Source organism: Homo sapiens, chromosome 3 (genome assembly GCF_000001405.40).
Source record: "Homo sapiens chromosome 3, GRCh38.p14 Primary Assembly".
NCBI lineage: Eukaryota > Metazoa > Chordata > Mammalia > Primates > Hominidae > Homo > Homo sapiens.
The window spans coordinates 33,122,978-33,137,000 of NC_000003.12; the positions used below are offsets into that span (position 1 = coordinate 33,122,978).

At 41.7% G+C, this 14,023-nt stretch overlaps 1 protein-coding gene across 4 annotated transcripts in view, besides 2 other annotated features; it reads left to right on the top strand.

The window, feature by feature from the left end:
* The window catches only part of CRTAP (cartilage associated protein), a 33,760-nt gene that overhangs the window by 8,964 nt on the left and 10,773 nt on the right, over positions 1-14,023 (top strand). For 2 of the 4 annotated variants that reach the window (NM_006371.5, NM_001393365.1), the window contains 4 exons: positions 1,431-1,602; positions 6,962-7,090; positions 9,578-9,723; positions 11,205-11,288. In NM_006371.5, coding sequence (NP_006362.1) covers positions 1,431-1,602; positions 6,962-7,090; positions 9,578-9,723; positions 11,205-11,288 — 531 coding nt within the window. The remainder of the gene's footprint in view (positions 1-1,430; positions 1,603-6,961; positions 7,091-9,577; positions 9,724-11,204; positions 11,289-14,023) is intronic. The other 2 variants (NM_001393363.1, NM_001393364.1) reach the window with 2 other exon arrangements.
* Positions 8,713-8,762: an enhancer, noted in NCBI's record as "active region_19646". NCBI's record gives its function as "activates an Ori minimal core promoter by ATAC-STARR-seq in GM12878 lymphoblastoid cells {active_cell/tissue: GM12878}" and the evidence as "EXISTENCE:reporter gene assay evidence [ECO:0000049][PMID:35858748]".
* Positions 11,320-11,389: an enhancer, noted in NCBI's record as "active region_19647". NCBI's record gives its function as "activates an Ori minimal core promoter by ATAC-STARR-seq in GM12878 lymphoblastoid cells {active_cell/tissue: GM12878}" and the evidence as "EXISTENCE:reporter gene assay evidence [ECO:0000049][PMID:35858748]".

The window sequence follows — 14,023 nt, forward strand, 5'->3', positions numbered from 1 at the left end:
TTTTGAGATGAAGTCTCGCCCTGTTGCCCAGGCTGCAGTGCAACGGCACGATCTTGGCTTACTGCAACCTCCACCTCCTGGGTTCAAATGATTCTCCTGCCTCAGCCTCCTGTTATTTCTCTTCTAATCGAGTCTAATCAACAATTAGCAGAAAGTCCTTGAAGTTTCCACTATCTGGCATGTGGTTGCCCTTCCTAGTAACTAGTGCTGATGCATGGTGGCACTTCTGTTTAACTGCATTGTCGGAGGAAGTGGGGTGACAGACACCTGCTGATATGGTTTGGATCTGTGTCTCCACCTAAATCTCATGTCCAGTTGTAATCCCCAGGGTTGGAGGTGGGGCCTGGTGGGAGGTGATTGGATCATGGGAGTGGATCCTTTATTAATGGTTTAGCACCATCCTCTCTGTGCCATTCTCATGATAGTGAGTGAGTTATCATGAGACCTAGTTGTTTAAAAGTGTGTAACACCTCCCCGCTCTCTTCCTTCTTCTCTGGCCATGTGAAGTGCCGGCTCCCTGTTTGCCTTCTGCCGTGATTGTAAGTTTCCTGAGGCCTCCCCAGAAGCAGAAGCTGCTATGCTTCCTGTATAGCCTGCAGAACCATGAACCAATTAAACCTCTTTTATTTATAAATTACCCAGTCTCGGTTTTTTTTTTTTTTTTTTTTTTTTGACAGAGTCTCGCTCTGTCACCCAGGCTGGAGTACAGTGGCACAATCTCAGCTTACTGCCACCTCCGCCTCCTAGGTTCAAGTGATTCTTGTGCCTCAGCCTCGTGAGTAGCTGGGACTACAAGCATGTGACTACACCTGGTAATTTCTATATTTTTAGTACAGATGGGGTTTCCCTATATTGGCCATGCTAGAGGTATTTCTTTATAGCAATGTGAGAACAGACTAATATACCTGCTCTCAAACTTACATTTTTCTTTTCGTTCCATTTTAAAAACCAGTTTTATTGAGGTACTATTTATATACAATATATTTATCAATTTTAAGTGTATAATGCAGTAAGTTTTGACAAATACATCCAGTCCTGTAACTGCCATCATAGTTACGACATAGAATATTTTCATCACCCCTGAACAATTTCCTCTTGTCCTTTTGTAGTCAAGTTTTTGCTGTAACCCCTGACTTCTGGCAGCCACTGATCTGATCTCTGTCATAGTTTTCCCATTTTCCTTAATTCAGATTATTATCAAGGGCCTGCTACTTTTTGAATTGAACTAAATAAGAAATGTACCCATCATAAGCAAAGTAGAAAAATCTAGATATAAAGTAACTCACTGATTGACTTCTTCAAGGGCCAGTGTGGCTTCTTCAGAGCTAATGAGAGCTAGCTTGGTGGTGGTCTTGGTTCCCTTTGAGATTTCATGACTGTCTCCCTTCACGCCCAAGAGCGAGCTTCACTGGCTTCTCCATGCCTTTCAGAGCCTGTTCATCCGAGCAGTGCGGGCATACAACGGTGAGAACTGGAGAACATCCATCACAGACATGGAGCTGGCCCTTCCCGACTTCTTCAAAGCCTTTTACGAGTGTCTCGCAGCCTGCGAGGGTTCCAGGGAGATCAAGGACTTCAAGGATTTCTACCTTTCCATAGCAGGTTGGTGGTAGGTCAATAGGCTCACTACTCCCATGGAATAGTCTTCCTTAGATGTCTGGTTTCTGCCTGCATGCCTGCTAGATGCCTGGAGCAGCCTCTGAGGAATTTTTGAGCATACTTATTAACGGGTAACTGAGGGTAGTCACCACCTGCATAGATAAACCTTTGACTTGGCAGGGGCTTCTAGTGAAATCACTGAGAGAAGGTTCAAGCACAGGCCTGCCAAGGTAGAATTCTGTGTCTGCCCTACTTGCTTACAGATTTCCTACAGTCATTTTGAAAAATAAAAATGGGCCCAGGAGCACCTCAGTGACTCACATTACTGAGATAACTTTGATGATGGCAATTTTCCAACACATATAAAGGTAGAATGAACCTTTAAGTGGCCATCACTAAGGTAGCTTTTTGAAATTTTCTTTTCTGATTATAAAACAATGTGTGCTCATTATAGGAAGTTTGGAAAACACAGAAAGGAAAAATGAAGAAAGGAAGAAAATGTAAAACTCTACACATAGGTAGCCCAGATTTCTCTATAGTGCCTAGACATTTCCCAAGTGCTTTACTGGGCAGCATCACTCCAGAAACTGGGAAATGGCTAAGGGAAGCTCTTTCCCAAAGTGGTTTGAGAACACTGATCCTAGAACTGTGCCTTCCTGAAAGCACTAGATAAGTAAAATCTGGACTGTACCTTGGATAAAGGTATCATGTCTATGTACTTGTAAATAAGTCTGGGAATGGGCTGAGCACTGACTGCATCTCCCACTTGAAGAATCATTGTGCACTTTAATGGTTAAAGGCCCTTAGAAATCCTGCAGTAGAGAAGCTCTTTTAAAGTTATTGAATCCAGCGTTTTCGGTTTTGTTTTTTTTTTTCAGTCACTTTTTATTCATTAATCTCTTTCTACAAAGTAGGTTTTTTTTTTTTTTTTTTTTTTTTGCCTTAAGAAAACTTCTTGTTATGGAAAATTTCAAACATACACAAAAAACAGAGAGAAGAGTAGATAAACCACCATGTACCCATGACCCAACTTCACAATTGTCAACTCATGGCTACTTGAGCTTCCTCTAATTCCCACCTACTTTTCCTCTCATGTTATTTTGAAGCGGATTCCAAATGCCATATTATTTCATTTGTAATATTTCAGTATATACCTTTAGAAGGTAAGGACTCTTTGTTTTTTAAACATAACACCAAACTATTACCCCTGTAAGAATTTTAACAATCATTCTTTGATCTCATCATTAAATACCTAAACAGTGTCCCAATCATTTCAGAAATGTCATAAATACATGTGTGTGCCTTTAATTTACCATTTGTTTGAATCAGGATCCAAATAAGGTCCATCCATTGCAATGGGTTATCTCTTGAAAATTTTTATTGTGGTAAAATATACGTTAATATGAACTTTATTATTTTAGCCATTGTTCAATGTACACTCCAGTGGCATTGACTACATTCACATGATTGTGCAACCATCAGCACCATCCATCTCTAGAACTTTTTATGTTTCCCCAAATTGAAACTCTGTATGCGATAACTCCCCATATCCCCTTCCCCCCAGCCACTGGCAACAACCTTTCTACTTTCTGTCTTTGTGAATTTGACTACTCTAGATACATCACGTAAGTGGAGTCATACAGTATTTGCCTTTTTGTGACTGACTCATTTCACTTGGCATAATGTCCTCGTTTCATCCATATTGTGGCAAGTTGGTTATCTTTTATGGCTCGTTTAATCCATAGGTTCTTCCGCCATATCTTTTCCCCTTTGCTATTGAAGAATCTGCATTTTTTGTCCCGTAGAGATTCCCATGGTCTGGGTTTTGCTGACTGTATCCCCATGTTCCTCTGTCTTCTGTATTTCTTGTAAATCGGTAATTGGATGTAGAGGCTTGAACAGGCTCGGTTTGATTTTGTTTTAGGGTTTTAAATTTTGGTGGGAGTCAACTGCTTCATAGTTGATGCTGAGTTCTTTCATCAGGAGGCACATAATGTCTGTGGTTTCTCTCCATCTATCTTTGATACAGCTAAGATATATATGTATTGTAAATCAAAGAGTATCTGAGACAAGTCTCAATCAATTTAGACAGTTTATTTTGCCAAGTTAAGGATGTACTTGTGACACAGACTCAGGAGGTCCTAACAACATATGCCCAAGGTACTCAGGGCACAGTTTGGTTTTATACATTTTAGGGAGACATGAGACATCAATCAATATATGTAAGATGTACATTGCTTCAGTCCAGAAAGGCAGGACAACCCAAAGTGGGAGGGGGTTTCCAGGTCATAGGTAGGTGAGAGACAAATGGTTGCATTCTTTTGAGTTTCTGATTAGCCTTTCACTGAATATGCAATTTGCAGGAATAGTCACTTATGCTTTAGTCTGGCTTAGTGAAACAACAGAGCAAAGGAAACAACCATATATACATTTGTTCCATGTGAGCAGAGGGATGACTGAGTTCTGCCTGTCCTTTGTCCACAAAAACTTCCTTGTGGGCAAATTATGAGAGAGATTTGTGGCTTTTTTTTTTTTTTTTTAAATTTTTGTAGCTATCTTATTTAGGAATAGGATGGGAAACACATTTGTCCTACATGGTTCCCAGCTTGACTTTTCCCTTTGGCTTAGTGATTTTGAGGTCCTGAGATTTATTTTCCTCTCACAGTATAGATATATAGATATTTAGAGTTTCTTTAGTTTTTATTTTTAAATAATTTCAAACTTGTAGAGAAGTCGGAAGAATCATACAAAGAACTCTCATGTACACCTTACCTAGATTCACCAATTTGTAACATTGATTGTGCCACATTTACTTTATTGCTCTCTCCATATGTGCTGTGGGTATAATTATTATTGTTATTATTTTATTTATTTATTTATTTATTTTTGACATGGAGTTTCCCTCTTGTTGCCCAGGCTGGAGTGCAACGGCGCGATCTCGGCTCACTGCAACCTCTGCCCCTTAGGTTCAGGCAATCCTCCTGCCTCAGCCTCCCGAGTAGCTGGGATTACAGGCATGCACCAACACGTCTGGCTAATTTTTATATTTTTAGTAGAGACGGGGTTTCACCACGTTGGCCAGGCTGGTCTCGAACTCCTGACCTCAGGTGATCCACCCACCTCGGCCTCCCAAAGTGCTAGGAGTACAGGCGTGAGCCACCGCACCCGGCCTATTATATTTTATTTTTGAGACTGAGTCTCACTCTGTCGCCCAGGCTGGAGTGCAGTGGTGCGATCTTGGCTCACTGCAACCTCTGTCTGCCGGGTTGAAGCAATTCTCCTGCCTCAGCCTCCTGAGTAGCTGGGACTACTGGCAGGCGCCACCACACCTGGCTAATGTTTTGTATTTTTAGTAGAGACAGCGTTTTGCTGTGTTGGCCAGGCTGGTTTCAAACTCCTGACCCCAAGTGATCCGCCCGCCTTGCCCTCCCAAAGTGCTGGGATTATAGGCTTGAGCCACCGCACCCAGCTCTGTATAATTATTTTTATTTCAGAACTATTTGGAAGTATGTTGCACATGCATTATTACTCTTTACCCCATTATACTTCAGTTTATTTCCTAAGAACAATAATATTATCTAAATATCCATAGTAATTAAATTCAGGAAACTTAATATACTAGATACAATGCTTGTATTCAATCTGTAGTTCATATTCTCTTTTTGTTAATTGTCACAATAATGTTCTTTCTAGCACCTTTTTTTTTCCTGGTACAGGTTCCAGTTCAGAATCATGCTTCCTATTTATTTGTCATCTTCCTTTAGAATTCTTTAATCTGGAACAATCCTTTGGCCTTCTTTGTCTTTTTATGCCAATGATATTTTTTAAGAATATAGGCTAATTACTTTGTCAACATTCCTCAATTTGGGTTTCTATTATGTGTCTTCACAGTTACATTCAGGTTGTGTATTTTTGGCTGGACCGCTATATAAATGTCCTCCTCAGGATATCACGTCAAGATATGTATGATGTTTGTTTGCACCCTTATTGTTGATGTTAATTTTTTGTTGTTGGTGGTAGTAAGTATGTAAGGCTTTTTTGTTGGTGATGGTAGTAAGTATGGAGGCGTGTTTTCAGAGTCAACCAAAGTGGAAATAATAGTTCAAAGAGTAAATGTTTCTGTAAATTAATTTTAGTGTTTTAAGGTATCATTTTGTACTTCCTACCAGCAATGTTTGAAAGTGCCTGTTCCTCCACAGTCTTATGAAATGTGTGCAACCCTTCTGGAGTCTTTTGCTTCTAGCTGCATAAAGGGAGAAAAGGGAGGGAGCCAAGGATCATGTGGGAGATTTTAGGGATTAGGCCTGGAAGTAGCATTCCTTAATTGTTACTCTCAACATGTCATTGGCCACGACTAGTCATATGGCCCCAACCTAGCTGCATGGGAATTGTAGTCTTTGACTATATTTAGGTTCACCTTACTCTCTTTCAAAGGCTGTGTAGATTCTGTTATTTTTATATACTGTAATTTATTAATCCTCATCCTATTGATTGGCATTTAGGTACTTACAAGTTTGTTTGTTTGTTGTTATAAACAGTGTTTATGTATGCCTGTGTCTAAAGAAAATTTCCTAGAAGTAGACAGCTGGGTTGGAAAATATGTGTATTTTAACCTTTGATAAATTTTGCCAAATTGTTCTCCAAAAAGTTTGTTCCTGTTTTGCTTCCATCAACAGAATATGAGAGTGTAAGTTTCACTGTTCTCTTCTTAATACTACAGTATGAATTTGTAAAACTTTTGCAATTTGGTAGTTTAAATTATTTTGGGGGTAATTGTATTTCCTAATTACAAAAGAGGTGTAGTGTCTCTCAATGTTTTTTAGACATTTTAATAATTTCTATTAATATCATTTGGCCATTTATATAGTGGATGTTCATCTTTTTCATATTGATTTGAAACAACTTTGTATATTAAAGATTTTCAGCTCCTTGTAGGTGTTGAAAATATTTTTCTTTTTCTTTTTTTTTTTTTTTTTTTGGAGACGGAGTCTTGCTCTGTTGCCCAGGCTGGAGTGCAGTGGCGCGATCTCGGCTCACTGCAAGCTCCACCTTCCGGGTTCACGCCATTCTTCTGCCTCAGCCTCCTGAGTAGCTGGGACCACAGGCGCCCACCACGACGCCCAGCTAATTTTTTGTATTTTTAGTGAGACAGGGTTTCACTGTGTTAACCAGGATGGTCTCGATCCTCCTGACCTTGTGATTCGCCCGCCTCAGCCTCCCGAAGTGCTGGGATTACAGGCGTGAGCCACCGCGCCCGGCCTGTAAATATTTTTCTTTTAACTTTTTCATTTGGGCAGGAGGCAGTAGCATATTAAGAAAGTAATGGATCCACTGCTCTGAAAATTTATATGTTTTGTTTCAGATCATTATGTAGAAGTTCTGGAATGCAAAATACAGTGTGAAGAGAACCTCACCCCAGTTATAGGAGGCTATCCGGTTGAGAAATTTGTGGCTACCATGTATCATTACTTGCAGTTTGCCTATTATAAGTGTAAGTAATCTTCTGTGACATCTTGGGTGAGGCACTTAGTCCTTCTAAGACTGTAAAATAGAGGTAATAACTCTTAGCTACGGTTGTTGAGAGTTCATCAAGGTCCACTGACAACCCTGGTGCTATGCTTTGCACAAAAAGGCAGCATGGCTTAGTGATTCAGGGCAGAGCCTGTAACCACAGTGCCTGGGTTCGATTTCAGCCTTATCACTTACTAGCTTCTCTGTGCTTTAGTTTCCTCATTGTGAATAGAGATTGTAGTACTAACCTCATAGGATTGTCCTGAGGAGTAAATGAGTTAATAGATGTGAAATGTCTGGGGTATTCCCACACTGGCACATAGCAAACTGTGTGTTTGTTTTTGTTATCATTATTTCCCTTCCTCCTTATCACTAGCTTTACTTTTCAGACTGTTAGAGTTTATTTTCTTTTCTTTTTTCTTTCTTTCTTTTCTTTTCTTTTTTTTTTTTTTTTTTTTTTTTTGAGACAGAGTCTTGCTCTGTTGCCCAGGCTGGAGTGCAGTGGTGTGATCTTGACTTACTGCAACCTCCGCCTCCCAGGTTCAAGTGATTCCCCTTCCTCAGCCTCCTGAGTAGCTGGGATTACAGGTGTGTGCCACCACGCCTAGCTAATTTTTTGTAATTTTAGTAGATATGTGGTTTCACTATCTTGGCCAGGCTAGTCTTGAACTCCTGACCTCAAGTGATCCACCCACTTCAGCCTCCCAAAGTGCTGGGATTACAGGTGTGAGCCACTGCGCCCGTCCTGTTAGTTTCATTCTAGTTGGTCCTCCCTTGATCTGAAATGGGAGTTTCTCAATCAGAACGTTCTAGTGGACAATGGGAAGCAAACGTGGGAGAGAAGGAAGTTCAGGGTTAGACTTCAGAGCCTGCGTGTTTCGGCTTTTCCTCCTCTCCCTGTACCTGACTTTGCCAAGTGCCACTTGTTCAAGCAGTGTGTCCCTTGGCAGTTCAGTTCCAAGCACAGAAGAATTATTAGGGAAAGTGGCAGTAGGACTTCCTCTGCCCTAATGAAATGCCAGGGTCTAGCGGTGGCAGGTTTCTGGCTAGAATAGATCCCCTGGGTCGCCCCTTCACACTCAGGAGTGGCTGGTCTCAGGGTGCCTTGGGAAGAGTGAGAGAGGTGATCTTGGCTTTAGCCCTCCTTTCCCACTGTGGTAATTGTGTTTTTTTTTTGCGGGGGGGGGTTCCTCTTTATCTCACCTCCCATCCTCTTCAGAACACGTAAGCCTTGCACCCTGAAGGTCAGAAAAAGAAAAAGAATATGTATTATATAAATATAAAAAGCCATAAGGTCTTCTAGCTCACTGAGCATGGCTTGGTTCTAAATGTATAAAGCTAGAACACTAGGAATTTAGAAGTGTTCTGGATGCATGCGGGCTCTGGCAGCTCCCTGGGCCTCTGAAATCCTCACGTGCCCTGAAAATCGCCCTGCATATCAGAAACTGGCAAAGACTTATCAACACTGGTGGACTGAGGCCTCTAGCTATGCTTGCTGCTTCCCAGGAAATCTGCTTTCGGGGATCAACAGTATGAATGAAGTGTACTTCCTGAAATGAGCTTCCTGAAAATCTGCCCCGTTTTGAATTTTTTCTAGACCACCTACCATGCTACATTGCTTGAGGGCAGGTGGTATTATTTATATTTGAAGAGTAAATGTCCCTAAGAGCTGGCTTTAAAGTAGTCATTACAGGAAACAGCCACTGGGTGGCACAATTTATTCATACCCAAGCTTTGGCTTCTCCGGCCAACCACAGCTTTAGCAAAGGTACTGTTGTGTAAATTAGAGTGGAATGTGCCAGAATACATACCAGGGGCTTGTGTCTCATCACCTCTTCCTCATCCTGCACTCCCAAGACAAATCCCAAGCCCTGCAAAATCCCTATGCTGAAGGTACTGTCACAGGTGGGCAACACCAAGCAGAGAGGCTGGAGGTGGGAGTTCCAACCTCAGGAGGTGGCAAAACTAGGCGACTTTCCAAATCCCCTCCAACCCAGAGGCTCCACCATCCTTTGGGTTTTCCAGGTCTGGTTTAGCTGTAGGGGAGCTAACCTAGATCTGGAGACTGTGGTCCCATCCAGATGGGATCCAGACACTCTAGGACCCAGATGAGACACCTGTTTGCTGAGCACATCCTCCCTATCTCCCTCAGCCCCAGGACAATCCAGCTTTTTCCAGCTGCTTCCAGGGACCTGAGACCAGCTCAGGTCACCAGAGCTGGAAGTGGAACATAGGCATTTCTCCATAGGCATGTGCCTAACTAGAACTAAGTTTCAAGCCTGGCCTCCAGGCTGCCGTGGAGACCCCATCTGTGGCCTGCCCACCCAGGGCTGCCAGTCGGCCCCAGGCTCTCTGAAGAAGGACTGTGGAGAAGGGGCTTGTTCATATGGCCTTTTTGTTTAGAAGCAGAGAAATTATAGGGTGTGGTTTGCTGATTTCTTCATTTGTCTTTTCTTCCCAACCCTAGTGAACGACCTGAAGAATGCAGCCCCCTGTGCAGTCAGCTATCTGCTCTTTGATCAGAATGACAAGGTCATGCAGCAGAACCTGGTGTATTACCAGTACCACAGGGACACTTGGGGCCTCTCGGATGAGCACTTCCAGCCCAGACCTGTAAGTCTGGTGCACCACACCTTCCCTTTTCTCTTCATTCTTGCCTTCTGGAGACTACCTCGTGCCTTAAGAGAAAGGGTTATTTTGGAAATAAAGGGGCTGGGCGCGGTGACTCATGCCTGTAATCCCAGCACTTTGGGAGGCCGAGGCGGGCGGATCATGATGTCAGGAGTTCGAGACCAGCCTGGCCAACACGGTGAAACCCCATCTCTACTAAACATACAAAAATTAGCCAGGCGTGGTGGCACGTGGCTGTAGTCCCAGCTACTTGGGAGGCTGAGGCAGAAGAATCGCTTGAACCCAGGGGCAGAGGTTGCTGTGAGCCGAGATTGCGCCAAAAAAAAGGAAATCAAGGAAAAGTCATTTTTTTCTGTAGTTTTGTGCATGTGTGTGTTTTAACATTTTACTGCTTCATTCTGATTTCTGAATCTGTAAAAACTCTACAAATTTCAAACATTACAGAAATATTTTACTTTGAAAACAAAATTCTCTCATAATCCTACACCTTCTTTCTCTCTCGGAAAACAAAATTCTCTCGTAATCCTACACCTTCTCTCTCTCTTTTTTTTTTTTTTTGAGACAGAGTCTTGCTCTGTCACCCAGGCTAGAGTGCAGTGGCGTGATCTTGGCTCACTGCATCCTCTGCCTCCTGGGTTCAAGCGATTCTCTTGCCTTAGCCTCCCGAGTAGCTGGGATTACAGGCGTGCACCAACATATCACACTAATTTTTGTAGTTTTAGTAGAGATGGGGTTTCGCTGGGCTAGTCTCGAACTCCTGGCTTCAGGTGATCTGCCCACCTCAGCCTTTCAAAGTGCTGGGATTTACAGGCATGAGCCACTGCGCCCAGCCTGTGCCATCTCTTTATCTCCTGCTTTAAAGGTATATATTTACTCATATATATAGTAAATATTTGTGTATTTTTATAAAAACAAGGTCATATTTACATAGTTTTACAACTTTTTGCAACTTTGTCTTTCTGACAATTTGTCGTGAATATTTCTCCATGTCACATCCATGTATCATCTTAATTATTATCCTTTAACAGCTCCCTGGTAGTCTCTTTTGCGGATGGACCATCATTTAATTCCCTTGATAGGCAAACTCACCACTTAGCATGTGTTGTCAGTGAACCCCATTCATTATATATTACTTTCAAAAGATTTTTTCTAATTGATCTTTGCTCTTGTATTTTCATTGGGATTTCTATATGCCATCTTGATTTTCATAAGTTTGTCTTCCACTGAGGGCTGGCCACTCTTTTTTAAAAATTGAGATATAATTTATATAGGATAGAATTCACCTTTTTAAAGTGTACAATTCAGTGGTTGTTAGTATATTCAGAGTTGTACAGCCATTACCACTATCTAATTTTAAACATTTTCATCACCTTAGAAAAAACCCCATATCCTGTTCCTCCCTCCTCCCAGTTCTAAGATGAAAAGGTTGGTCCTATAAACTGTTCTCTGTTGTGTCTGAACAGGAAGCAGTTCAGTTCTTTAATGTGACCACACTCCAGAAGGAGCTGTATGACTTTGCTAAGGAAAATATAATGGATGATGATGAGGTAAGTTTTCATGCTTAGCACATGTCTGGTGGCTACGAGAAAATATTACTCACATCTTTGCTAGAATCACTGGAAGGCTGAGTCCTCCCTGAAGTAAGAAACAGAGGGGACCTTGAGAAAGACAGTTCCTGTGGGTGTTTCAGTGACAGTCAGAATGCTGGCATGGGAAAGAGCGGCTTTCTAGGAAACCTAGGCAGGAGTGCCACATTTCCTGATAGCGAAACGGGTGTGGGGCCACACTCCAGGAATTCACAGTGGTCATTCTTCATCTTTTCACTTTATATAAAAACAGTGAATTTTTAATTGCTCAGCACTCTGAAGAGACATGGATACTCACACCCCAATTTTTCTGCTAGACTATTGCTATTATTATTTTTTCTAAATTGCATCTTTACTGTAAGCATTTTGTCATTCTCTAGAATTGCTTGAAATTCCTGATTCCACCTTACTCAGCTGACCCCTTTTCTGACCCTGACTCAACTGGTTATGGAGTGGTCATTTTGTGATGAGTCTGGTCACAGAAAAGCCATCATTAGCGGTAGTATTTAGAGTATTTGTTTGGAACAAACTGGAAAATGCTTACTGAGAAAGCTGGGGACTTGTCAGCTATTGGAGCTCGAAGAGAGCTGTGAGCTTGCTCTGGTCTGATCCTTCGCTTTATAGATGAGGAGCATGGGGCCAGCAAGTTTCCTGAGCCTCCAGGTCTGCTCTTCCTATACCCGTTTTAGGTGAAGTACCTCTGAATAAGACATCTTCGTGGAATTTGTTTTCTGTCTATAAATATGTATGGGATGAACTCATCACTGGCATTAAACAACTGAGTCTCAGTTCTTTATCTATAAAATGGGAATAATAATACTGCCCTCCCAGGGTTGTGAGAATAAAATACTGTGTTGCATGTGGAAATGCTTTCTAAACTGGAAAGTGATGCAATGCCTATGTCTTGGTTTGGGTATCCTTGAAGCAGAGCCTGAGACAGGATCCCAAGATGCCACAGGGGCCATTCCCCCATTCCCTAAAGGAAGGAACACCAGCCAGATACCAACAAGATTGGCCACTGTGGTTTACAAAGTATAGCAGAGGCTGGGTGTAGTGGCTCACACCTGTGATCTCAGCATTTGGGAGGCCAAAGCAGGTGATTGCTTGAGACCAGGAGTTCAAGACCAGCCTGGGCAACATGGTAAAACCTCGTCTCTACAAAAAATACAAAAAAATTAGCTGGGTATGGTGGAGTGCACCCGTAGTCCTAGCTACTTGGAAGGCTGAAGGAGTCTGGGGAGTTTGAGGCTGATATTGCGCCATTGCACTCCAGACTCGGCAATTGGAGTAAGACCCTGCCTCAAAAAAAAAAAAAAGGAAAGTATAGAAAAATATATTTAGAAAAGGTAAGAGAAGTTGAGTTCCCAGTTATCTAGAGGCAAGCTAATATGGATATTTTGGTATATATCTTTCCATTTTTTTATTATTAAAGAAAAAATTTTATAGTTTTAAATTTGTTTTTCTACATATTTATTATAAACTCAGCTATAATTATGTCTCATGACTTTTTCACTTTATATTATTATGTGAGCAGTTTCTCTTGTTATATTTTTCTAAAACAGCTTTATTTAGATATTATTCACAAAAAATGAAATTCTCCTTTTTAAAGTATACAATTCAGTTGTACTTGTTATATCCACAAAATTTTGCATCCATCACTGTTATTTAACTTTAGAACATTTTTATTGCCCCCAAAAGAAACTCCATAGCTAAGTCACTTCCCATTTCTCCTCTGGGCCAACATTCCCACTCCTGCCTCCACCTCCAGCCCCTGGAAGACTCTAATCTACTTTCTGTTTCTGTGGATTTGCCTGTTGTGGACATTTCATATAAATGGAAATATAGGGTATGTGGTCTTTTGTGACTGGCTTCTTTCACTGAGCATATGTTTTCAAAGTTCAGCCATGTTGAACATGTTGCCTGTAAAATTTCCTCTGTACTACCAAGTAATATTCTTCTTTTGGATGTACCGCATTCTGTTTATCCATTCTTCAGTTGATGGATGTTTGGGTTGGTTCCACTTTTTGGCTATTTTGAATAATGATGCTATGACCATTTGTGTACAAATTTTTGTTTGAACATAAGCTTTCCAGTTTTTTATACCTAGGAGTATATACATAGGTATTATGTTAGGCCATTTTTGCATCACTGTAAAGAAATACCTGGCTGGGTGCAGTGGTTCATGCCTGTAATCCCAGCACTTTGGGAGGCCAAGGCAGGAGGATTGCTTGAGCCCAAGACTAGCCTGAGTAACATAGTGAGACTCTGTCTCTACAGAAAATTTAAAAGTTAGCTGGGCATGGTGGCACAGGAAGTGTGGCAATGGCATCTGCTTGGCTTCTGGTGAGGTCTCAGGAAGCTTATGGTCATGGCAAAGGGGGAGCTGGCGTATGTCACATGGCAAGAGCATGCCACACTCTTTTAAACAACTAGATCTTGTGTGAACTCAGAGTGAGAACTCACTTATTATCATGAGGACAGCACCAAGACATTTTTGAGGCATCCGCCCACCTGACCCAAATACCTTCCACCAGGCCCCACTTCCAACACCGGAGATTACATTTCAACATGAGATTTGGAGGGGACATATATCCAAACCATATCAGGTACATACCTAGGAATGGATTGCTGGGCCATATGGTAATGGTTTAACCTGTTGAGAAACTGCCAGACTGTTTTTCAAAGTGGCTGCACCA